The following is a 27,165-nucleotide window of genomic DNA, read 5'->3' as shown; positions in this document are numbered from 1 at the left end:
ACTTGAGCCCTCCTCAAGAACCTCAAGCAAACAAAGGGGAACCACTATTTTCTAACAAGGGGGATGTGCCACTTCTGCAGGCCCAGCAAGTTTGGAAGAACCTGAGAGCTCAAAATTCTAAAGTGCATCCACTCACATATTCCCATCACATGAAGGTAGCTCCTTCTCCTTCTCCGTAAGGTCCTCAACTTTAGCATAGGAGACCTGCCAAGGCTTAAGAATTCAACCCTCTCTGCAGCTCCACTACTCTGAAGAATAAGTTCTCTAGTCTGTCTTCCCTCTACCTGTAGATTAGGGTTTTCTTAAATGCTGCCAAGGAGACCTCTAGCTTTCACATTTTGAAATGGTTGATTAATCACCCTGAGCCTGCTATTGCTGCTCTTCAAGGAATTAATGGCACTCAGCAACAGTCACCCAATGCCATAGTCCTTAAAGTTACCACTTTCCTCACACTCCTCAATAGCCAATAATATTGCACCAGCCCCCCTTCCACTAGTATCCCATTTCAGCTCACTGTTAGTGAAAGTTTTAACAATTGCAATAACTCAGTCTGCTAGGGACTATCCCACCAGGGCTAGATATTGCCAGCCATCACTGGCTATAAATGGTGAATAAATGGTGACTCATATCCAAAATTCCATTTTGGAGTCAGCATTCTAGGGACACACCTAGGACTAACTATATTAGATTGAGTTGCCCAAAAATAATCTCTAATATGGAGAATTGCATGCTGAATGTTTATCGGGTTGTGGATATTTTACAAGAGATAAGCCTATAAAGAATAAAAAAAGAATGTGAGATTGGGAAGAGACCTCACAATGCTTTGTGGAGCTAGAATGGTCCTTGAAAGTCACCCCAAATTGAGTCAAGAATCCCAGACTTTCGGATCTCCACATCAAGAAGTCATTGATCATGGGCTCCTCTCAGAAGAGGGGTGATGGATATAACTTTGGGTAGTTGCCTTCTGTAGGGGAAGGGGGAATTCCCAGTAATAGGTACAGCTGTGAACAGTCATATTGCCAGGATTAGGATGGGTACATCAACCCTGGAGTAGAGATCTGCACACAGCACTATCAACCCTGGAGTAGAGATCTGCACTCAGCACTACAGTATCCACAACACATGGATACCGCATATATCCAGGAGGAGTAAAAACATAGGAGCCAAATATTTTCTTCCTCACCCTCTGTTTATAGCAATAGCCTTCCCTCTTCCTAACAATGTGGATCAATTATTCGTCTAGGTCTCTTTTAGAAATGTATCTCCTGGCTCTCTCCTCCTTGCTCAACACCCCTCAGCCATATTAGCCTCGTGTCAACACCCTTGTTGATGCTCTACCTGGAATTCCTCCTTCCCTGGGTCCCCATATGTCTGGCCCTTCCTCATCTGTCAGGCCTCAGCCTAAGTGTCATCCTCTCAGAGGCCTTTCTTGACCCCACTACACAAAGTTGGTTTGCTCTCACACCCACCATTATTCTTTATTATAACACTTTGTATAGTTCCTACTTTGCACTTATCGTAACCTGAAATCTTTGGTATGTTGTTTGCTTATGTATTTATTGTCTGTGTCTCCCTCCAGAATATAAGCTCCATCAGGCTAGGGACCACATCTGGCCATTCATCATGGTATCCCTAGTTCCTGGAACCTAATAGATGGGAGCTCCATACGAATCTGTTGAGTGAATGAATTGAGGAAGAGAAGTCACAAGTTTAATAGACGAAGAAAAATTAGTCATTGACACGAGCAACAGGGCTATAGAAAGCAACTGCCAGGTTGTTGAAGCATCTCTGGGTATATGCGGAACTGTCTAAAGGGACAATGGCATGATAGGCGAAGTTTGATACTAGCACCTCTGCTTCTCATCCCTACTTGTCATTGATACCCCTATGTGGCCAGATATCCCAGAAAAGCCTAAGCTAGGAGCCCAATCTACTTTTGTCTATGCCAGCGGAGGCCATGAGCCAGAAAAACATTGGTCCTAATGTTACTGGGATCTTGTTTGTACTCACTAGCTGGTGAGGTCTGGGTAAATCCAGAGTGCTTTAGGACAAATTTGAGCCAATATTTTTCCCAAGGGTAGTTTTCATAATTAGACATTGGGCTGAAAATTAACAAAAGGGGTATCTCCCTCATTAAAGCAAAACCTAGGAAGATATATATTTGGGAAGATATAGAAGTCATCTTTAGATCACAGGACAGTTTGCAGGGCCCATTGGCTCAGTTCTTTATCAGAATTAGATCAAAACCAGAAGACAAACCTTAAGAGGCCTGCTAGTCACCATCAGCCATTAACTAGCCATCTGACCTTCTTAGTAAGTCACTTAACCTCTCCAGGGTACAGTCTCTTTGTGTGTAAAGTGACAGTTAACATGGATGTGGTGAAAAGAGTTTTGGATTGGGACTGAGCATGATCCTGGCCCTACCAAATTCCTGTGTGATCTTGCACAGGTACCTCATCATTCTCAGCCTCAATTTCCAATCTGTGAATACAAGGCTGGATATGATATCCTCTCAGATTCTTCCTTGTTCAGACGGTCATTATTCCTTTCATGTATGTCCGCAACCCTAAAGCAGGTGAGCCCAAGACTTCCAAAAATGGAGTTAATTTTTATGCCAACAACTTTCTTATGGAAAGTTTTAGGTGAAAGAGAACCAGCTTGTAAAACAGACAACTGAGCATTTCTCAAAATAAACATTTGCCAAAGCTAAGTTAGGGAATTGCCTGGAGTTATGAGCTTCAAATACAACATTAAAAGTCTTAATGGATTTGGAGATTCATTTGGAGATTCAGTATTTATTATTATCCCCCACTGATTCTATTTTCCACTCCAGATTCAATGCAAATGCTATTTTTACCAGCATATTTATTACATTCATTGAATGGCACAAAGGCATCTTGTCGAATTACACAGAAATATCCTGAAGTTGCTTTTAGAAATTGCTATTTTTATTCTGTAGGGTTAATTGAACCTGCTGCTATATATCTAATTTATGCAAAACACAAAGACAGCAAGTTGCTAAACAATAGTGTATTTGGTGCATAATATTAGGAATCAGTCCCTCTAATGTTATGAAATATAGGCTAACAAAATGATCTTTCTCCCCTAAATGGAATAGCTGAACTTTATTTATAGTTGTATATTATATCTATATAGATCTATGTGAGGTGATAAATATGGTGAGATGCAGCAATTTTCTCTACTAGCATTGACAGATAAAGTTACTTAAGTCAATATTTTGGTAATTTAAGCATTGATAATAAGCTCTTGAATATATTAATGATGATCCATTTCACTACACATCATTATCTGGATCAATTTGTCTGTCCCCTCTTTATATAGATTTAACTGGCTCAACTTCCATTCACAGATGTAAAGTATCATCAGTACACATTACTTTTTAGTACGCCTCCCCTCAAATATTGATTTTTAATTTTTTTCTCAAATAGAATGTGTGCTCTTATTTTTTGCTACCAGGATACACACACATACACACTCACACATCGGGGTGAAAGCCATCACGTTCTATATAATCTCCCTAAAATGTAGGTGCTCTTATGCATGACCATCGGTAATTTTTTAAAGTTATTTCTGTTTCAAGAAACAGAAGCTGATTCTGGCCTGTTTAAGGAAAGATGTTTATTGGAAGGATCTCAGGTTATTAGCCAGAATCAAAGGAGAATTGAATAAGCAGGACTCAGAAAGCACAGGCGCCTCAGAGGGCTCTCCTGGCCCCCAGCAGGAGATAAGTAACTCAGAAATGCTCAGTATTTACTGTGTAACGGGCACTGCTGTACACATTTTAAAGATGTTTTCTCATTTAGTCCTTGAATCAATGTCACGAGGTAGGTATCACTGTCTCCATTTGACAGATGAGAAAACTGAGGAAAGGGAAATCAGTAACTTGCTCCAAGTTACAGAGCTGATGAGTGTTGGGAGTCAAGACTCCAAGCGACCTTCTTTTTAGAGCACAGACTCCATGCTGCCTTCTTTTCAGAGCACAACTACAAAGTGATGGCGGCATCCGCTGCCATTCTCCAGGTGTCACCGCTTCAGATTTCAGATTCGTGGGCAGGAGTGGGCAGGAGACCCTCCCCTCAACAGGGAGGCAGGGCCATACCGTACAACCGTGGCCTATGGGATCAATCCCCCTGTGTCACAAGCTTTGCATAAATTAGATATATAGCAGCAGGTTCAATCAACTCTACAGAATAAAAGCAGCAATATCTAAAAGCAAGCTCAGGATATTTCTGTGTAATTCTACAAGACGCCTTCATGCCATTCAATGAATGTAATCAATATGCTGGTAAAAATCCCCCTGTGTCTCTTCCCAGAGAAAGAGAAGTCCTTGCAAGCCAGGCAGCCCAAACAAATGGCATCTATTGCATCATCTCAGTGGGAAAACACTGAGCCTGGCCTCCAAACACCTGGGTTCTAGTCCATGCCCTGGAGCAAATACTGTAACTTTGGCAAAGCTTAATCAACCAGGGTGTCAGTTACTCCATTTGTAAAGTTAGGCAACTGGACTAAACTTACCCTATTATTTCCACCTCTAAGATTCCATTATATTTAACAAAAACATGAGCTTTATATTCTTAGGAGGCATCTCCTTAAGCTGCCATGCACTTGAAAACTCTAAGCTACACAGTTTCCTCACCTCCAAAGCAAATCTCCAAAGTCTCTAAGAAATTGGTCACAAGAGGCTGGGCGCGGTGGCTCATGCCTGTAATCCCAGTACTTTGGGAGGCTGAGGCAGGTGGATCACCTGAGGTCAGGAGTTCGAAACCAGCTTGACCAATATGGTGAAACCCCATCTCTACTAAAAATACAAAAATTAGCCAGACGCAGTGGCGGGTGCCTGTAATCCCAGCTACTCAGGAGGCTGAGACAGGAGAACCACTTGAACCTGGGAGGCGGAGGTTGCAGTGAGCCAAGATCACACCACTGCACTCCAGCCTGGGCCACAGAGCGAGACTCCGTCTGAAGAAAAACAAAAAAAAGAAATTGGTCACAAAAGCCTCTTACCTTTGGTGAAACTCCTATGTCTTCTTCATTCAGACAACATCAAGGCCAGAAATGCTTCTTGTAGTCTGTAGCAACAGGAAGTCATCCTAGAAAGCCATTCCCAGTATGCCATCCAGCCCTCCTTCCACAGGCAGAGATGTCCTAGCAGGATTCTGGCCTGAATATCAATAAAATACAGATTTTATTACCTCTTGTCTGTATCTAGTGGCCCCACGAAACCACTGAAATCAGTCTCTCTTTGACCATTTTTCTATATCTTACCATAAAGGGAATGGTCAAAGGTCAAGGGGTCAGAGACTTAAAGGCAGCTGGCAGGGAAGTTTAGTAGGGCTGTGCAGCTGAGCTGTTAAAGGCTTTGGATTTAAGGCTTGAACACCTGAATGCAAGTGTTTGCCCTAATTCCCAATCTTTCTAATTCCACATAACCAATTAAATTACCAAATATAGTGCCATTCTAAATATGCAACGATTCATCATTTCCAAATACAAGATTTTTATTCTGACCTATACATTTTTAAGAATTGTGGTATTCACAGGCAGAACAGTGGCTACCAAAAATATCAGGTCCTAATCCCTGAAAACTGTAAATGTTGCCTTACATGGCAAAGACTTCACAGATGTGATTAAGTCAATGATCATGAGATCCGTGTGGTTTTCCGAATTGTCCAAGTGAGACCTAAGTGCCATCACAAGTGTCTTCAGAAAAGGGAGGCAGACAGAGATTTGGCACACATGGAGAAGGCGATGTGAAGAAGGAGGAGAGAGAGAGACTTGAAGATGCTTGCCTTAAAGATTGGAATGATGTAACCACAAGCCAAGGAAGGCTGGCAGCCACCAAAAACTGAAGACACAAGGAATGTCTTCTTCTCTAGAGCTTCTGGAGAGAGCGCAGCTCTGCCAGCATCTTGGTTTCAGTCCAGCCACAGTGATTTTGAACTTCTGGCCTCCAGAACTTGGAGATAATAAATTTCTGTTGTTTTAAGCCATCAAGGTTTTGGTAATTTGTTATAGCAGACTTCAGAATAAGTCTGACCCTGCCCACTGATGCAGAACTTGGCCGTGAGACCAACTGTCATCTCAAGGCAAATGGAAACTGTGTCTCTGCCCCTTCACTTTGGACTCAGCCCCATCACTTGCTGGCCAATGGCATGTTAGTGGATAGGACACAGGCAGAGGCTTGAGCTGTGCTTGCATAGTTGGGCTTTATCGTACATGCATCTTACATAGTTGGACTTCATCTTACATGTTTCTACCATTGCCAGAGAAGAAAATGCCTGGGCAGCCTGCTTGTTTCAGAAGAATGAGAGCACCTGACACCAACTTGAACAGAGCCCACATCCTAGAGCCTGGCCCAGAGAGCCTAGGCTAGCCCAGGGCAACCCCAGGAGGCCTGCACACACACACAAGAGTGGTAAATGCATGCCTGTTGCTTATACTACTGAGGTTTTGCAGCTGCTTGTTATGGTTGGAATATGGTTAAATACGGTGGAGATATGGTTGGAATAATTAGATCTAGTTATAATATTTTATTTAGTTATACATATATACTTTAAGATTTATAAAAAATCATACAACACTGCCTTTTCAATTCTCACAATTCATCAAACAATTGTATTAAAATCTTCACAAACAATTCAGATAGCAGTGTGTTTATATTATAGTTTTCCAGAGCAGACCATCTTCACTCCCATCTAGGTTGTGTATGAAATTGAACTGTTAAGTGTTGCACTGGATATTTTATCCCAATGCACAAGTACCCAGTCTCCTAACTGTAGAACAGGATGTGTTGTCGTTCATCAAAATTCCTATAACGTAATATCTATTGCTTTTTCAAGTGGTCTTTAAAAGGCTGGTTGATAATGGCATCCAATGCTTGTAGTTATGAGGCCATCACCTCAGGATTAATTAATAAATTGCACTAAATTTTTTGCCTCCTTCTTTTTTAACCTCTGAGTTAGGTGATCAGCTAGCATTCATCGAAATCATTTCAAGATAATGTGTCTTTTTCAAGCTGTTCTCTCCCAGTCAGTGACATGATCTTTTTGCAATTACTTGGTGAGTTTGTCACAAAGTTCAGTTGAGGATTCGTAGCAATGGTGCATATGGTCAATTGCTTTTTAAAATGTGCAAAAGTAAGATATTTTAGTTGCCGTGTGTTAAAATTAGTAAGGCTTTCTGTTCACATTTACTATCTATCCAGCTTTTCCGTCATGCCAGGTGTTAGAGTGGCCATAGCCATTTTAGAAATCAAGCTAAAAGGAAGTTGAGTTGGGGCACATTTCGTCTGAGTTCAGTGGGTGTATTTTGGTGGTTCACAGTCACTTCTGTGCATAGTGAAATTACTGATGACTGTCCTGGTGTAGGAACACCCCTACCACCCACTCTGCCCACTTATCTGGCACTAGGACCAGGGCCAAAGGCCATATCAAAATACTCAGAGTTCTTACGGCACCCGGGAGGGAAGTATGTGGGTATTAGAGAAGAAATGTAATTTGAAATGTATGGAACCAGAAGCCAGTCTGTGAAAAATTCTTACAATCATCAGAGATTTACAAATGTAAGTGGAAGATTTGGTTCTTATTGCCTAATAAGAACAAAGGTTCTCTCTTACTGAGGAAATACATTCAATAATGTAGCATATATAATTATAAATGCGCCATTGATTTTTTTCTTTTTCATGGGAAACATGTGAAATAAATTTATCAGAATTATTGGATCTACTGGAAAAAACCCATAGCAGCACCACAAACTAAGTACATCGTCTGTAACAGCTCAATTACAAATGAAAATTGCTAGCGGTTTTCTCAAATCCAACAGCCAACCTGAATGTAAATGACATTACCAAGAACAAATTATGAAGTTCCAAGGAACTTTACTCAATTATTTATAATTTTTTTAAAGTTCCAACAAACTGAATTATCTTTATGTTCTTGTTATGGAAAACAATATTATAAAATCCTTGACATGAAAACACACCTTTGTTTCTAGATTTTGTGGTGGTTGTGATATTGATCGGCTTGTTAAAAATAGATTGCTTCCTTTATCATTCTAAGTAACTGTTCACCTTTGGACAAATTTTGTATTCTTTTTCTTCAAATGCATCCATGAAATTTGATTCCCGAAGGTATATTAAACTTAGAGTGATCATCACAACGGGGTTTGAGTCTGAACGTAGCTCTCGGCTCCACCCAATCCTTGGTGCTCTTGGCAGGGGCACGCTCTGCTGTGTGTATCACAGATGTGCTTCACCCACCAAATCTCCTTTCCTTTTACTCAAATGCGTCACAGACCCAGTAGCCTCACAATGAAAGTATCTAAAGCAGAGAGGGAGTAGAAAAGGAGGAAAGAAAGATTTACTAAGCTCTACTATTGGGGTTCAAATCCTGACTCTTCAATTTTCTAGCTATGTAATTTGGGGTAAATTACTTAATCTCTGGGAATGATCACAGTACCTCCATCAAGAAGCCTTTGTATTAAATGAGTTAATTTGTGTAGAGGATTTAAATCAATACCTAGTATGTGGTGATAAACTCCCACTCAAGATTAACTCTTATTATTGTTATAGTTATTCCCACCTGCCAGGCCCTGTGTTCAGTGCCAGCATAATCAGCTTTATCTTTTCCATGTTGCAAAAGAAGAAGTAGGTTTCAAAGAGTTTCACCATTTGTTCAAAATTATATCACATAGCTAATATGAATTAAAGAGGGAAAATTCTTATCCACATACAGCCATCTGACTCCACCCTCCCAGTTTCCATTATACCAAAGACCTCAAAAATTGATTTTGTTCTCATATCACACAAATGAAAAAGATGGATTATGTCAGGCTAAAAAAAATGTTGACATAATTGCTATGAGGAAAATAATAATTGATGGTTGGGCTGTAGAAGGGCTTATTTGTTTTGTAAATAAACAGAATATCAAAAAATGTTAAAGAAAATTTGAGTGTATGCAATACTTGTTACTTCAAACCATTTACAAATCTAGAGCTACTTAATTTAGAAACATAAAAGCACATTTTCTATGGATTGGTTTTCTCTTAAAATTAGTCTGTTAGATTAAAGGCAAAAGCATTTTTATTCAGACAATCCCAACAAATTTTCCAATTGTGCTACTTCTGAGTTGTTTTTTATTTTTGCTAAAAATGGAGCTATAAGCTGCAGAACTTTAAGGAATCCAGCAGTGTTCTGTTTTTTTTTTTTGGTTTTTTTTTTTTTTTGCCAGTGTATAAGGTGACAAACAGTTGAGAACAGAAGAACACAACCACACTAATAAAACAAAGAGCTATTATGTTATGTGGAGTAGGTTTTCTTTACAGTGAGGGGTAGAGACAAAAAGCACTCATTTTCAGAAAAAGAATTCAGAGGAAAAAAAGAAAAGCCCCCTCTTCTTCCAGGCTCCCCAATGGGCTGAACACAACAGTCAAGCTATTTGTGATTTTGGTGATTTTTTTAAAAAGAATATTTTAGCCTCTGCACAAAATTCTGAAATCCTTACCCATTCTTGAAACCCTTACTGATAAATATTATCACCATAGACATACACTATTCTCCTGCAGTAAAGAGATTTGTCAACCCACAAACCTGGACCAGAAGCTGCACCTGATGTCTCACAGGCAGCATCCTGTCCCTGGGTGGATTTCTTTTGGCCTACACACGATGCTAATACTTTCCTGAATGTACGGCCAATATTAAAATCGAGATATTTCACATTAAGGTCTGGAATGTTAGCTTTTCTTTAAAAACTAGAACTTCTGTACATGCCTTACCCCACAGCAAAAATCAGCATGCACTGAAGGATAGCTGTGCTGCTTACACAAAGCATGCATTTCACAGGCTGCCACAAACCCCATCGCTCCCTCATCGCTCCCTGACAGTGAAGCCAAGCCAAGCATTAGCTGTTACTTATCATCATTCTTGAGCTCCTTTACTTCTTATACTACAGTAGCAGTTCTTGAATATTTGGTCTCAGGATCCCTTTATACTCTTCAAAATTATTAAGCACCCAAAAAGCTTCTGTTTATGTGTGTTATGTCTATATTCACTATATTAAAATTAAAACTGAGAAAATGTTAAAATATAAATATATTTCATGTTAAAGGCAACAAATATTTTTAGGAAAAATTATTATTTTCAAAAACAAAAGATTATGAGAAGAAATACATTGTTTTCTATTTTGGAAGGTCCTTTTTAATGTCTAGCTTGGTTGAATGAGCTGGATTGTCATATCTGTTTGCATTCAATCTGTTATGATATGTTGTTTTGGTCCAAACATAAAGAAAACCTAGCCTCAAACAGCTGTATGAGGATAAGCAGTGAAAAAAAAATGGAGAAATGTTTTAATAGCCTTTTCAGATAATTACAGGTATTCTTCTTTGATATTACATTGAAACTCAATTAGTGATAACTTAAATGTTGGTTGCAATGTGGACTCTGAAACCATATCAAGTAATTCATTATGCTCTGTTACATTAAAATCCACTGGTCTAGTTTACACTTTGAATGTATCTTCTATCAGTTAGGCTAGTCAATTCTTGTTTCTAATGCAAATTCCTCTGGGAGCATTAGATGTTAGTAATCTTTTTTTGTGAGTATTAAATTATAACAATTACTAGGTAAAGTAGTCGTACTAAAGTAATGTAACTGTTCCAATCAGGGTAATAAAAAAGGAAAGAATGAATTGCAGCATTGGCTATTGGAGAAAAAAATCAAGAAAGAAAACTATGAGAACGCTAGGTATTTTTATATCCTATCTTAGTTAATCTTCTCAACACTCAGTGAGGTAGGTTTTATTAGCTCTCCTCTACAGGTAAGGACATGGGAGATGAGAGAGAATAACTGACTCACCCAAGTCTATAGATGATAAAGCTCACCCTATCTCCTATAGATGAGGGGTTGACAAACTACAGCCCACAAGCCAAACCTCCAGTGCACTGCCTGCTTTTGTAAATAAATTTTATTGGATCACAGCCATGCCCATTTTTATACTTATTACCTGTGACTACTTTCATGGTACAACAGCCTGAGAGACTGTGAAACAGACCATATGGTCTGCAAAGCTGGAAATATTTACTATCTAGACCTTTGCAGAAAAAGTTTGCTAATAGCTCTAGAGTAGTGTTTTCAGCAGTTGTGCTGTCGTGATTTTTATTGTTATGATTTCTTTTTAATTTGGTCTTGTGGACTCTATTTCTTGAGCATGACCGCAAGCCAAGATAGGCACTCTGTAGGTGAGCTCTGATAGGGGAAAGTTACATTCGGGTGTCAGATGAGACACAATGAGGAAGTGAACAAAAATTAATAAAACAAAAGAAATTTATTACTCACAAGTCTCAGAGAGGTTACAGGTGCCCACAGGGGGAGTCTGGAGGCAGCAGGGAATTCAACCAGTAGGGATAAGTGGGGGAAAAAAGAGAAGACAGAGGGGGAGAGAGGAAACGGGTAGGGAGGGGAGAGGAAGAGAGAGAAAACCTGTGAAATTATCCCTTTATTGAGCTCCACGGGTATTATTATCCTTAAGGCTTTCCTGTGAGGCTCATTGATTAGCTAATTTAAAGAAAACCTCTGTGAAGGCGGGGAACTTATTTACATAAACCTGGTGTTGACCATTAGGTTTTAGTGTGATATATTAGTCCGTTCTCATGCTGCTAATAAAGACATACCTGAGACTGGGTAACTTATTTTTTTAAATTATGCCTTAAGTTTTAGGGTACATGTGCACAACGTGCAGGTTAGTTACATATGTATACATGTGCCATGTTGGTGTGCTGCCCCCATTAACTCGTCATTTAACATTAGGTATATCTCCTAATGCTATCCCTCCCCTCTCCCCCCACCCCACAACAGTCCCCAGATTGTGATGTTCCCCTTCCTGTGTCCATGTGTTCTCATTGTTCAATTCCCACCTATTAGTGAGAACATGTGGTGTTTGGTTTTTTGTCCTTGTCATAGTTTGCTGAGAATGATGGTTTCCAGCTTCATCCATGTCCCTACAAAGGACATGAACTCATCATTTTTTATGGCTGCATAGTATTCCATGGTGTATATGTGCCACAATTTCTTAATCCAGTCTATCATTGTTGGACATTTGGCTTGGTTCCCCGTCTTTGCTATTGTGAATAGTGCTGCAATAAACATACGTGTGCATGTGTCTTTATAGCAGCATGATTTATGTTCCTTTGGGTATATACCCAGTAATGGGATGGCTGGGTCAAATCCATCTAGATCCCTGAGGAATCGCCACACTGACTTCCACAATGGTTGAACTAGTTTACAGTCCCACCAACAATGTAAAAGTGTTCCTATTACTCCACATCCTCTCCAGCACTTGTTGTTTCCTGACTTTTTAATGATCGCCATTCTAACTGGTGTGAGATGGTATCTCATTGTGGTTTTGATTTGCATTTCTCTGATGGCCAGTGATGATGAGCATTTTTTCATGTGTCTTTCGGCTGCATAAATGTCTTCTTTTGAGAAGTGTCTGTTCATATCCTTCACCCACTTGTTGATGGGGTTGTTTGTTTTTTTCTTGTAAATTTGTTTGAGTTCATTGTAGATTCTGGATATTAGCCCTTTGTCAGATGAGTAGATTGCAAAAATTTTCACCCATTCTGTAGGTTGCCTGTTCACTCTGATGGTGGTTTCTTGGATGCCCTCTCTCACCACTCCTATTCAACATAGTGTTGCAAGTTCTGGCCAGGGCAATTAGGCAGGAGAAGGAAATAAAGGGTATTCAATTAGGAAAAGAGGAAGTCAAATTGTCCCTGTTTGCAGATGACATGATTGTATATCTAGAAAACCCCACCGTCTCAGCCCAAAATCTCCTTAAGCTGATAGGCAACTTCAGCAAAGTCTCAGGATACAAAATCAATGTGCAAAAATCACAAGCATTCTTATACACCAATAACAGACAAACAGAGAGCCAAATCATGAGTGAACTCCCATTCACAATTGCTTCAAAGAGAATAAAATACCTAGGAATCCAACTTACAAAGGATGTGAAGGACCTCTTCAAGGAGAACTACAAAACACTGCTCAATGAAATAAAAGAGGACACAAACAAATGGAAGAACATTCCATGCTCATGGATAGGAAGAATCAATATCGTGAAAATGGCCATACTGCCCAAGGTAATTTATAGATTCAATGCCATCCCCATCAAGCTACCAATGACTTTCTTCACAGAATTGGAAAAAACTACTTTAAAGTTCATATGGAACTAAAAAAGAGCCCGCATTGCCAAGTCAATCCTAAGCCAAAAGAAAAAAGCTGGAGGCATCATGCTACCTGACTTCAAACTATACTACAAGGCTACAGTAACCAAAACAGCATGGTACTGGTACCAAAACAGAGATATAGACCAATGGAACAGAACAGAGCCCTCAGAAATAATGCTGTGTATCTACAACCATCTGATCTTTGACAAACCTGACAAAAACAAGCAAATGGGGAAACGATTCCCTATTTAATAAATGGTGCTGGGAATACTGGCTAGCCATATGTAGAAAGCTGAAACTGGATCCCTTCCTTATACCTTATACAAAAATTAATTCAAGATGGATTAAAAACTTAAATGTTAGAACTAAAACCATAAAAACCCTAGAAGAAAACCTAGGCACTACCATTCAGGACATAGGCATGGGCAGAGATTGGGTAACTTATAAAGGAAAGAGGTTTAATTGACTCAGAGTTCCGCAGGGGTGGGGAGGCCTCAGGAAACTTACAATCATGTGGAAGGGGAAGCAAACATGTCCTTCTTCACATGATGGCAGCAAGGAAAAGTGCCAAGCAAAAGGAGGAAAAGCCCCTTATAAAACCATCAGATATCATGAGAACTCATTCACCATCACAAGAACAGCAGCATGGGGGTAACTGCCCCCATAACTGAGTTACCTCCCACTGGGTCCCTCCCACAACACTTGGGGATTATGGGAACTACAATTCAAGATGAGATTTGGCTGGGGACACAGCCAAACCATATCATGTGGTCAGCAGCTGTGGGATGTGTTAGGTTTTGGAGTTGTAAGACAATGAACAAGTGGGCCATATCACAAACAGGAAGAAGGGGTGTTTTAACTAGGCCAAAAATGATAACTTACGTCAAACCTGAAAAACTAAATAACTTCTGTCATGCCTAAAAGTGGATGCCAAGGTAGCAATAATATTAAAAAAAGTATGACAGCAATTTTCTCAGATAAAAATCTTATCAGAATGCTCAACATACACAATAGATAAATAGCCAAATATTGTTAGCACTGCATTTTATAAATTCAAATTTATATAACATTTACTTATTGGAAATTCAATCAACATCTTTGAAAGGTAGCTTTGAGTAACACAACATTTTAAAATAAGGAGTTTATAGAGCTTAATAGCCGTCTCATATCAGCATTGATGTACAGTTAATACTTCTATTTAGCTTATTTTCAGGATATCTTAAACTGACCCAGAAGCTTGAAGAAGACCGCTAGGAAACATTTGCTTTCCAAGTTAAATCTCCAACAATATCAGCATTTCTACTTATAGCCATAAAATTCAGACATGAAGATAATTAACAAGCAATAAGTATTTATTGAATGAGCAGATGGAAGAATTATCACAATGTGATAGTTATGATTTCACTATTATTGCACAACACACTTTTAATTCAATAAGCATCACTACTTGCTCACAATGAATTTGGGTGTTGGCTGGGCCCTTTGCATACAGTGCAGATAAGATTTATAGGTCCCTGTCTTCAGGGAGTTTAGAATCTAATAAGAGATGCAGATGTGCCCGGGCTTGCCTGGGTCTAACTGAGCAAGGAACACACATGCTACAATCATGTACTTGTTTCTACAACTTTGTATGAACAAAAATTTAAACCTGAGTGCTCACAAAATGATGGCAAGAGAGGAGCTAGAGAAATGGCAGATTATACACTAAAGATGAGAAAAGAGAGATGAAAAGACATCAAAGATATAAGCTTTTCACTTTGCATTTTTTTTTCCTTTGCCCTGAAGAAAAATGGAAATTTACCAACAGCAAATGCCTAATATATAGCACATTCTTCTGGATTATTCTTGTATATTATATTTAACCTTCATAATAACCCTTTGAAATAGGAATTCATTTTGCTGTTATATAAACGCAAAGACTGAAACTTGGGTCACTAATAAATTGAAGGACCAGAATTCAAAGCACATCTAAAAAAAAAAAAAAAAAACAACAAACTATACAATCTAGGTTTTCTCTGTTACTATATATGGTGTGCTCACCAGGGCTTTAAGATACACAGGCTTAAGTTAGATAACAAGCTGTTTGGGAAGTACATACCTCTGCCTGAACTAAATTAGGTAAGTCACTGGGAAATTCATCTAGTCATACCCAGTTCCGTTCTGACTCTCCAGTAAACTAATGTCTATGTATTCCTCCTTACCCTAGAGGGGAATAAAAGACAGAAGGAAGACAAAGAGAGAGGCATTGCTCTTGCATTTGCCCCAATAGAAAGACCAGCAAGTGTAAAATCTTACCATGCATAAGCAATGGTAATATTTTAACATTTAAAATGAGCTTTTCTTTTCTCCCTTTCTGAGTACACTACTTTTGCCCTCATCCAACTTTGCGACCAGATTCTGATCTGCAAAGGGGGCAGTCAGAATTTGTTCATGAAAAAATGCAAAGAGCTATGTGAAATAACTTATACCTTTTGCCACTGAAAAATAATATTCTGCAGCAAGCTAATGTCTTTGATGATACCAATCCTGCTTCCTGCCTCTAACATTCAAGAGTTAATTCAGGACAATACAATTCATTGAGTTCTCTCAAGGTATAGAGTCATCACCTATGGTTGTGTATGTTGTACATGGCACAAAGTAACACCTCTGGTTGGGTGACATTCACATTGTGGATCTCATAGCTTCACTTCCTTTTATAAAAATGTCTGATGTTAGCAATCGAGCGTCTTGTAATAGCATAATCATTACAGTAGTCTCCTTATCCAGTTTTGCCTTCTGCAGTTTTAGTTACCAGAGGTCAAACAGTCTGAAAATAGATGAGTACAGTAAGGTATTATGAGAAAGACCACATTCACATACCTTGTATTATAGAATATTATTATAATTGTTCTGAGCCAATTTATAAATTAAACTTTATCATAGGTATGTATATATAGGGAAAAACATGGTATATCCAGGGTTTGGTACTATCTGCAGTTTTAGACATCCACTGGGGGTCTGGGAACATATCCCCCATGGGTAGGGGAAGATAACTACTCTATATGGGAATTTTTGAAGATGGGAAAAAAAGCGTTCTTGGCAGAGGATCACTTTTGTTAATTTTCAAAAAGGTGCTAAATGGGCTAGTAGCATTCTTATGTATAGCATATTCTCTTTCTTTCTATGCTTCTTGGGCTTTGTATTAATTAGCTATGGCTGCAATGATGCTAAGTAACAAACAACTCCAAAAAATTCAGTGACTAATGGCAGAGCTGCTGTTGTAGGTCACTGAATTTTAAAAGAGAGAGAGAGAGAGAAAGAAAGAGAGAGAGAGAGAAAGAAAGAGAAAGAAAGAGAGAGAGAAAAGAAAGAAAGAAAGAAAGAAAGAAAGAAAGAAAAGAAAAGAAAAGAAAGACAGACAAAGAGAGAGGAAGGAAGGAAGGAAAGAAGGAAGGAAGGAAAATTTATTTTTCATATGTCTGTAGGTTTTCTGTGCTCTGCTGGACTCAGCTGGATTTGGACTCACTCACTAGCAGGGTTTAGTTCTGCTCCATGGTCACTCATTCTGAGATCCAGGCAACATCAGCTACAGCTACCTGGAGCATGCTCATCTCATGGCAGAGAGCAGGGGCTCAAGAAGTTAAGCCAAACCACATAAGCGCAGCTAAAACCTTTGTTCATGTCACGTTCTCTTAGCTTCCACTCACCATAACAAGCCTCATGGCCAAGTACATCAGGGGATAGTAGGGAAGTATATGACTCCCACAGAGGAGGAGGGAGAGTGAATCTGGCCACAGATCTACTCTATTGTACTCTATGGTAGTAGGAAGATACGTTGCAGCCAAAGCCCAATTCTGTTACAGCCCAAGGAACATTAGAAACTATCTCCATATTGAGACAAGCCATTTCCTATATGCTACTGCTTTTTGCACACTGAGTCTTATACACTTTTAAAAAAGATCAGTCTGTTTATTTTTCACCTTTTTGTATATTACTGTGATAGCTGATGAGTCAGAAGTCAGCTTATGAAGGACGAGACAGTAAACATTTTTGGCTCTGTGAGCTATATGGTCTCTGTTACAGCCACTTAACTCTGCCATTGTAGTGCAAAAGCAGCCATAGGCAACACTTAAACAAGTGGACATAAATGTGTTCTAATAATACTTTATTTACAAAAATAGATGGTGGGCCTGATTTGGCCCATGAGTCATAGCTTACCAGTCTTATAATAAAGTATAAAGGACATATATATATATATATACACACACACATATATCTTGCTTTCACCACCTATTGCTTCATAACATACATACACCCCAAATTCTAGTGGCTTAAAACAATTATTTTATTGTCTCATGATTCTGTGAACTGACTGGGCTCAGCTGGGTGACTTTTCTGCTCTATGTGAAGTTTTCTGCATCTGAAGGGACATAGGGTATCAACAGGGCTTAAATATTAAAGATGGCTCATTCACCTGTCTGGCGCCTTGGCAGAGGTGAGTGATAGGTTGGACTCAGCAGGAACACAAACAGCTAAGTCCCAGCTGCTGTGCCTCACTTCTCAGTCATGACATGGCCACCTAGGATTCCCCAGGGTGAAAGGGAGGAAACCACCTGGCCTCTTTAAAGCTTAGGCCCAGAACTGTCATTTCTGCTTATTTCAGGAAAACTCACAAGCCATGTTTTTCCTCTGCTCTCACACCATCACAACAACAATCAACCTAGAAGACTTCTGTGAATAAATGGGCGGGGGTTTCTCCCTACCACCAAGCAAGCCACTAGTTCTGCAGCACAGACCAGCTGGGTGTCTTCCAATTAAGTTCCAAAATTATCCACCTGGAAAGAATGTCGGACCTCCCCCCATAGGCTGGGGGCTCAGGCCTCAAGATGCCCTCCCCATAAGACACCAGTCACAAGTTCAGGCCTCTGGAACTTCTGACCAGCCTGCTTCAAGTTGGGGTTCCCAAGACCCCCTCTTTGTGTTCAATTAATTTGCTGGAATGGCTCACAGAACTCAGAGAGGCACTAACTTATGTTTGTTCATTTATTATAAAGGATATTATAAATAATACAGATAAAGAGATGTGTAGGGTGGCATATGGGGGAAAGGGTGCTGAGCTTCCATGTTCTCCATGGGTGTGCCACCCTCCAGGAACCACCAGGTGTTCAGCTATCCAGAAGCTCCCCAAATCCTGTCCTCTGGGGTTTTCATGGAAGCTTCATGATGTCAGCATTCCTTCCCACATGGTATCAGGCAGTGTGGGACCTTCTCTGGAATGAGGGTCTCTTGACTCACAATCAGAAAGGGGAGGGAAAATTAGATTCTGTTTCCTGAGGCCTGCCCCTGACACCTAACACACCCAAAGTTATAACAAAAGACTGTAACAAGGGCTGTGGGAGTTATGAGCCAGGAACTGTAGATGAAAATCAAAATAATAATTTTATATATTAAAAAATATCACCACACTGCCACATCCTACTGCTAAAGTACCTCATCTTTCATCTGTCGTCTGTGACCCATCTCGTCCGTGCTCTACTCTGGCCTGTGTCAGAACGTCAACTTTCTTACTTCTGGACCTTCAAATGTGGTGAAATTCTTTTTAATGCTATACCTTCACACGGCAGAACAGTTTCCTTATTCTATGACACAACAGCCAAACACCCTACTCCAAGGACTTCCCTGCCCAGGAAACTGGTGCCTCAGTCCAGACACAGGTGATCTTAATTAAGGTAAGTTAGCGTAAAAGACAGGAGTTGTCTATGCCTTGAGACACTCTGGGCATCCCCTAAATGAACTGATTGTAAGTGGGTCTCCTCTACACAACATCGGGCTCCACATGCCATGGAGAAGCCCACACAACAGAGCTTGGAAGTAGCAGGGGGTACAAGGGGTAAGCAAATCCCTGAGGCCTGGGCACAGTTTTAAATCCAATTCAATTATAATCAATATAATACCCACGAGGGACAACCGAAGGGACCCTTTGCTCCTAAACCTGAAAACTCCTTGAAAATCATCATTGTAGATTTTAGAGTAGAGCTATCACCCTTCTAAGGCCACATGCGATTCTGATCATGCACTAACCAAAATGATAAACTTCTACACTGGACTTCTGCCTGGTTCCATCAGTCCGGCCATTCTTGAGGTGTCTCAGTCATCATCATCTGCCTCTGCCCAAGACCTACCCTAAGTCATACCAGCAAATGGTCTTGTTGACTTTTGCCTCAAGCCACACCATCTATGCACATTCACTTTCTTGATCACCACTTCCTTCTATCCTGACCTGTCTGCACCTGTGATCTTCATCCAAGTCTCTACCCCAAGACTCAGCCTCTAGCTCAAGACAGGAAGCTGGAGAAGGCAATAAAAGAAACACGAGATTATCACAGATACTTTTTCCAGCTCCACACCTAGAATCATGCAAAGGAGATGACCCAGAAGAGAAGTCAGTCATCAGGCTTTAAGTGTGAATGTCCCAGAATATTCCACTGTACTTTCATTGAGTGAAATGGGGGCTGCCCACTCCATCCCATATTGCATGGAAGGCCTGAGGGATGGTGAGTCAGGACAGACCCCTTCCAGATCATGTACCTTTAGTCCAGCCACTGTGCACCTGCACTGTATTCCATGCACTGTGTACCTGCCAGACCATAAATCTGAGCTGTCAACACCCCAACAGAGCTCACAGCAGGCATCCTGGAACTGATTCCCTCTAATCCCTTTCTGATCTGCTGTTTGTCTGGCAACTGACTCTTGGTTCTATCTCCCATTTATAGTCCTGCTGGCTTGACAGATGAGTGTATTCTCCTGATCTCTCAACTCCCTGTCAAAGGCACTGGCTTGGTCTTACTCACCAGCTCTCATGTTTTTTTATTTTCAGGATAAACCCCCACACACACTCAAAGTGCCTGTGAAGACCCCACTGAGCTCCACTCACATCTACTGGGGCCTCTATGGGGTGGGGGTAGGGATTGACAGAAGTTGAGTCTTTTTATCCTGAGGACATGGTCCAAATCAGGGACTCATGGAAGACTGTTGAATAACTGAGTGATGCATAAGGACCTTGACCTCATAAGCAATTGTCCTTCCAAACAGAGAAAACTGGCCCACAATGAGCTATTTCTGAATGAGTTTGCATAAAATGCTGGTGAAAAGTGATACCCAGAGGAAGACTAGCCAGACTGAACTACTTAAGGAAACAAAGCATCTTTGAGAAATAAAATTAATTAACTGCTTCCAAAGGGAGCAGAAAATAGGAGGCTGGGAGGGGCCGGGAAATTTTATATAAATTTCCAAAGGACTAGGAACTTGAAAGTAAACTAAGGGAATTTCAAGCTCTAAATTAAAAAAATGCCTTCCAACATCATGGCTTAGCAGTATGCGATAGGCACTCAAAACTGGGATTTGGTTATGTACAAAGCAAAGCTCTGACCAAGGAAAACAATAAATTAAATGCAAAAATCGACAGGATTTGGGCTTTTTAAAAGTTACTGCACAATATTCTCTGAGGGTGATTTCAGACTAGACCTTGACAGAGTGAGATTGTGAATATAAAAGTGAGCTTTTGTCAATCAGAAGGCACTTCTGCAGAAATAAGTTTCTAGAGAATAACCAAAGGGGATTTCAAAGATCTAGTTTACATTCTTTGTGTCTTCAGGCCCATTTCCTTGGGATTTAAGAAACCATAAGGATTTTGAGATCATGAAACAGTCATATGAAACACTGCTTAGTATGGGTCTCACTGTATATGGTACCCCAGTCAGGGACATTTTATTTTTGTCTGTACTTTGACCAAATTCCTTTGCCCACCAGCCCCCATTCCTCCAATCTTTTAAGGTTTGCCAGCTTGTTAGTGGAGAGGAAATAGTAGTTATATCCCATCTGTCCTCCATGACTCTCACAAGCAAATCAGAAAGTGGTGGGGACATGCCGATAGATGAGGAGGTTCCAGAACCAAGATACACCCACCCTGGGAAAGAAACATTCTGTAAGGTAAGGTCACATAAACTCCAGGAAAGGGGTTTCTTCTGCCAGTATCTGCACTAAAAGAAGATTCTATTAAAATTAATAACTTTTCTTTATCAGGCACTGTGTGAGGAACTTTATATACATAATCTTAATGTTGCCATTTGATCATAAAGATAATTCAACTTCACAATTTGACTCCAGCAGTATGTTGATCCTGCTATATCCAAGAATTTAGCATCAACAAACCAGAACAACTGTCATCTCCTTGGTATGGGGGGTGTGTGTGTGTGTGTGTGTGTGTGTGTGTGCACATGCATGGACATTTTCCCTGTGTTGCTCTTCCTCTTTGCACCTGTGTTTCTTTCCCTGTCTCCCTCACTCTGTGTGGCTGCCCCTGTAAATCTTCCACTTTCCCTGAGTCTAGTCTATGCCTTTGTCTATGTATTTTCCTCTCTATCTTTGTGTATGTGTGTTTGTGAATGTATTCCTTTACATTTCTCTGCTTCCTTATCCAGGCAAGGACAACAACCTGAGAGGCAGTGGGCCTCTTCCTGTCTTCCTTCTTGTGCTGAAAGTCAACAGAGAAGAGAATCAGTCCTCAGGATCTCACTGAGCCTTTTTTAGAATATCCATCACCACCCCTTCCTTTGCTCCCTGTTTCTCCAGGCTCCCTTCTCCCAGCAAACAACCAACTTCGTTCCACACTCATGTGCATGCATATGCATTCATACATACAGGGCTGCATTTATTCCTGACTTTCTATCCTTCATGTGATAAATAATTGTTAACACTTATTAAAAGCTACTATGATCTGAAAGTTTGTGTCCCCCCAAAATTCATATGTTGAAATGTAATTCTCAACACAATAGTACGAAGAGATGTGGCCTTTAGCAAGTGATTTAGGTGAATGGGATTCGTGATTAGGCATTAAGAGAGCCCCAAGGGAGCTTGTTTGCCCCTTCTGCCACCAAAAGACACAGCTAGAAGGCACCATCTATGAGGAACAGGCCCTCACCTGATGTCAAATCTACCTGCTCTTTGATTGTGGTCTTCCAAGGCCCCAGAACTGTGAGTAATAAACTTCTGTTGTTTATAAATTATCCATTTTTTTTGTTTCAACAATCAGAAAGGGCTAAGACAAAAGCTAACTACATACCAAGCACTGTTTGAAACACCTAATATTTACCCATTACAACCCCTTATAAGGGTTATTATTATCTCTACACTCCAGATGAGGAAACTGAGGCATGGACAATGTAAGTAACTTGCCAAAATTCATACAATAGCAGGAGAAAAGCTGACATTCAAACTCCACAGTCTATGCCATAAACCACTACACCATATTGCCTGTACCTTACAGCCAGTGATTAGCAGATATTAGTAGAGAAAGCGACGTGTCCTCTTTATTCTCTAATGAGCTCCCAGAACTCCATACATAACAAGCTTCTCTCAAGATCAAACAGTTTTAGTATGCTGAGCAGCACAGAAAATTTGGGGTCATTATGAAAGGGGACTAACTTCTTTGAATACTGGGGGAAAAAATCACATTTCCCCCGACTTCGTATTTAGAGAATAATCAAGAAAATGTTCCCCTTTCTCTCTTACTGAATACAATTTATCTTTATCAAACCAGAAAAGAATGTACCTCCAGCTGGAAGTTTCTCACAAAGCCTGTTGAGATGAAAGGTACAGTAATAGATACACAAAGCAGTTGCTTTTTATCTGTGAAGAGCTGGTTTCATATAATTCTTTCATAAAAGTGAAAAATAAGACATTGTGTTTATGTGGAGCATACATTTGTCTGCATCACAAAAAAAGAGGAGTGTGACCGTCTACTGGGACAGCCTAAATCCTTGACTGTTTGCATTTGGTCTGGCCCAGGTGCTCCATTAATAGTGGAAAACCTGCTTTTTCAGCACATGAAGTGGCCAATTTAGGCTCAAAGTCACTGCATTTGTTATCTGTCCTAAACAGGAGCCCAACCCATACTTTTTGCTCAGCTAAAGAAAAAGAACATTGAAAATTTAGTAAACAGGACAATTGATGGCACCTGGCTTTGTGTCAAGCAAAAGCCGGTCTCTGCAGTGAAAAGTCCTGACCTTGAAAAGCTGGTTAAAATGGATGATGCGTGGGCTGCTGGCTGGAGAGCCAGCGGGAAGTAGGTCAGTGAAGCTATAGGCTGGCTTCTGTCACTCCCAGCCTGAGCTTGTGCAACTCAAAGGGGAAAAAAATGTTCTCAGACAGAAGAGGAGACTGTGTGTGGTTCCGGGCAGCATGTAATATTGACAAAACCATCACCACCGAATGAAATCATCGAGGAGAAGCTGTCAGCCCCTGCCACATCCGGGAGCTATTTCTGCTCCTTTAATTAATTAAGGGTTGTCTTGTCTTAGTTTTTATTTTAACCACAGAAACGAACTTTGTTGTCCACTTTCTCTAGGCCCCACCACACTGCCAACTCTTACAGGCTGTCCACCAAGCATTTAATGGCCCTGGCTGGGCTGATAGACAGGAGGGAATAATGAGGAAGCCCAAATTGCAAAGGGACTTTAGACAGAAGGCAGAAGCTGTCTGTGATGGAAGTCAAGCCCTGGACCATCCTATCACCCACCCACCCGCCCTCCTCACTTGCTCTCCAAGGAGCTGCAATGCCTCGTTCAAGAGCAAAGTTTCTGGAACCTCCTGGGCTTCCTTAGCTGTGTGATTTTGGGTCCATTCCTAACTTTCTGTGTCTCCATTTCCTCACATGTGAGGTGGGAGTAATGAATGACCCTCATAGGGTCGCTGTGTGGAACATTCATGAGAGCCCCAGGAGAAAGCAGATGGTGCACTCAAACTGGGATAACCCAAGGAGGGTTTCATAAAAGAACTATTGACAAAGGAGTGTGGAGAGTGCAGAAAAAGCACAAGGGAGGGTGCAGCGCCCGAGGATAGTAAAGTGGGTGCCATTATCAGTCCCGAAGGGGCACCTGGAAGAGTGTGTGTATCCACATCCAAAGAAAGTAGGAGCTCCGTGATGTGAGCTATGACCTTCAATGCAGGCACGCAGCCAGCTGGTAGCAACCTGACAGAAAGGGAGGCTTATGAATAAATGCATCAACCACACTCTCCTCCTCCCCTTGGGGTCTCCATACGTCCCTTCAGCTGAAACCATAAGAACCCAACAGACAAGGCAGCCCCTTAATGCATTCCATATGAGGCACCCAGCAGCAAGTGGATCTGCAGGGGCAAATGGGAGACACTGAGCACCAAGAATTTGATGAGGCAAGGTAGTAGATTGCTTAGTGCAGTGCCTGGAACATGCATTCAGTGTGTACTAACAGCTTCATATGTGTTACTAGGCAGGGATGTCACACAGATGAGGCACCCTAGGGAAGGAAAACTGTGGGCCAGGAAAAGACCACTCAGCCTCAGCCTTTCCTGGTTCTGAAGTTTCTGCCTCTGCAGGAGGATCCAGAACCTCAGGGTTATTGCCCTGCCACTGATTCTGGGATCTTAGGCAAGCCCATTCCCCACTCTGGCCTTTGTTTTCTTGTCTGTTAAATTAAGATGTTAGGGGATAAGATGAGTTTAGGTATTTTCCAGTCTAATGTGCTGTGATTCAAGCACATTTTGTGTTTATAGCCAAATTTAAAGCAATTTATAACCAGTCAATCCTAATTGTATTTGTTTTGGGACACAAGATGAATTGCAGGACTTGGGCAACACAATGGGAATTGTAGGTGCTCTGCACATAAGGTTGAGATATGCCTGGTGCAGCCATTGCCCCTTCCCCATCCTGTTCCAGGGATTCTCCCAGGTTCCTGCCAGCCTCACGGTTTCACACCCACTTCCTAAGAGGAAGCAAAATCCTAAAGTGAGGGGAAGCTGGCCTGAGCTCCTCCAACATTCCTTGACCCCTCTCCCCTGTTGAGCTCACCTTCTCTCAGCATCCACCTAACCAGTATTTTTTTAATTGCCAAAAGATACCTTTAGTAACACTTTACACATAGCTAGTATGTATAATATAGGGAAGAGTTAAGATACCTGGTTCTAGCTAAATTACAGTCAGACCCACTGGGCTAGCACCTTAGCCAATACTGCTGCTGAAGCCCCTCAGTGGAAGCCAAGGGCTTCAGAGAAGACAGTTTGAGGACCCTTCCACCCACAGCATCCTTCTCATGTTCCTCACAACATTCTCGGTCCCTCTGGAGAGTCTCCTCTTCCCTCCTGTGTTCCAAACTAGAGAACCTCAACTAGTCAATTACTATCTACAAGGAGATTTTGCAGCCTACACAATAGTAATGGCATCTTACCATTGTAGAGTGCTCAGCTGATTACACAGCCCTTTCACACACATTATTGTATCCCCAGAACAACCCTGTACTTCCCCAACTTCACACCAAAGTAAGCAGCACAGTCAGGCCCGGAACTCATTTTTTTTTAACTCCAAGTTCACTATTCCCACACCAATGGCCAACCAGAGACCGCAAGCTAAATACCAGCATCTTTTGTTGTGGTGTCCTAAATGATTTTTAAAATTATTATTTGCATTAGTGCCACCATCTTCTTTTCTTAACTCTATCTAAAATCCTTCCCTCTCGTGCATTGTCTGCCTCCTCTCCTAAGCTCCCCAAGATGAAGGGCTGCCTGTCTCACACACGATGGTATCCCCCAATCCCTAACCCAATGTCTGACACTCAAAATGCATGCAGTAAGTGCTTATCCGCTGAATGAAACACAGAATCCCATACTCCTATTCTTTTAGGTCATTTACCCTCATTAGGTTTCAAGGCTCCCAAAACTAAAAATAACCACGTTTGACTCAGCAGCGGGTGAATGTCCAGATTACTTTTAGTTTCTGGGTTAAGGAGGAAAACTGGGCCAGACCCAGACAGAACAGACTACCTGGTGGTGCATCCTTGCTGGAGGAATGTTAAAGACCCTTGTGTAACAAATATTGATGAAGGCTGATTCTACTTTTCATTTTCCCAGGAGTCCCAACCGAAACATCCTACAGTTTCTAGAAGTGTATGATTCTCTCCCACAAAACTATGAGCTATTTGGGAAGAAGAATTCTGCCTGGCTGCTCTTTTTTTTCCCCTAGAAATGAGAAGTGGATCACGCAAGGTTCTGCATAACAGTTTGACGAATGCTTGAGATTGGCCAGCAATGCAAGCCTCAGCACCAGAGTGTGGAATCGTAGAATGTTAGAACTGGAAAGGATTTCAGCAACATCTCAAACTGCTCTGTACAATATGTTAGCCCCTAGCTACATGTGGCTATTTAAGAATAAATCAAAATTAACTGAAATTAAAAGAAGTTGAAAGTCTTCAGACATACTAGCCACTTTTCTAAGACTCAAAAGCCACTGTCTAGAGGCCACTGCATGGGAAGGCACAGATATGAGAATATTTCCATCATGGCAGAAAGTCCCTTTGGATAGCACTGAAAGGATCTCATTTATAATGAGAGAATTGAGTCTCAGAGAAGGAAAGTAATTTCCCCCGAGTCACGCAGTGAGTGAGAAATGAAAACATGAGCTCTGGCTTAGGTTCTTACCTAAGTCTCCCGGTTACTGCTCAGCACTTTTTAACCATTACACTGGATTCACAAATTGTGAGGGCCTTGCCTAGAAGAACAACCACATGTCCTCTTCTTTCAAGGCAGCATAACTCTGGATAGCTAGTAAGAAATCCTAGATGCACATGGCAGAGAACAAATGCTAGACCCAGCAAGCAAATGACAGGAAACTGTAGCTTCCCACAGAAAGCTAAAGCACCAGAGATCTGAAGCAGGCCGCAATGTGGGCTGTCTTTTTTTTTTTTTTTTAAGCTTCTCAAAATTGTTTTCATTTCAATGTTGGAGGTTAATACCCAAGACGGACACTCTTTTTGAAGAGTCCCTTTTGATTTTAATTTCTTAAAGTCTTTATTTTAACTCCCCTTTCTGTTTATATTATACCCATCCCACAAGTTTTCTTTCTTTCTAGGTAACTTGATC

The 27,165-nt window shown here is 40.8% G+C and overlaps 1 long non-coding RNA gene across 4 annotated transcripts in view; it reads right to left on the bottom strand.

Annotated features, from left to right (window-relative positions):
* The window catches only part of LOC105373891 (uncharacterized), an 87,352-nt gene that overhangs the window by 5,379 nt on the left and 54,808 nt on the right, over positions 1 to 27,165 (bottom strand). For 3 of the 4 annotated variants that reach the window (XR_001739888.2, XR_923928.3, XR_923930.3), the window contains exons 2-3: positions 15,846 to 16,045; positions 5,026 to 5,182 (exon numbers count right to left, since the gene is read on the bottom strand). This is a non-coding gene — a long non-coding RNA (uncharacterized LOC105373891). Of the gene's footprint in view, positions 1 to 5,025; positions 5,183 to 8,001; positions 8,310 to 15,845; positions 16,046 to 27,165 lie in introns of those variants that run through there. The other variant, XR_923929.3, reaches the window with a different exon arrangement.

This window comes from Homo sapiens, chromosome 2, assembly GCF_000001405.40.
Source record: "Homo sapiens chromosome 2, GRCh38.p14 Primary Assembly".
Lineage (NCBI taxonomy): Eukaryota > Metazoa > Chordata > Mammalia > Primates > Hominidae > Homo > Homo sapiens.
This window is presented reverse-complemented; position numbering and strand designations above follow the sequence as displayed.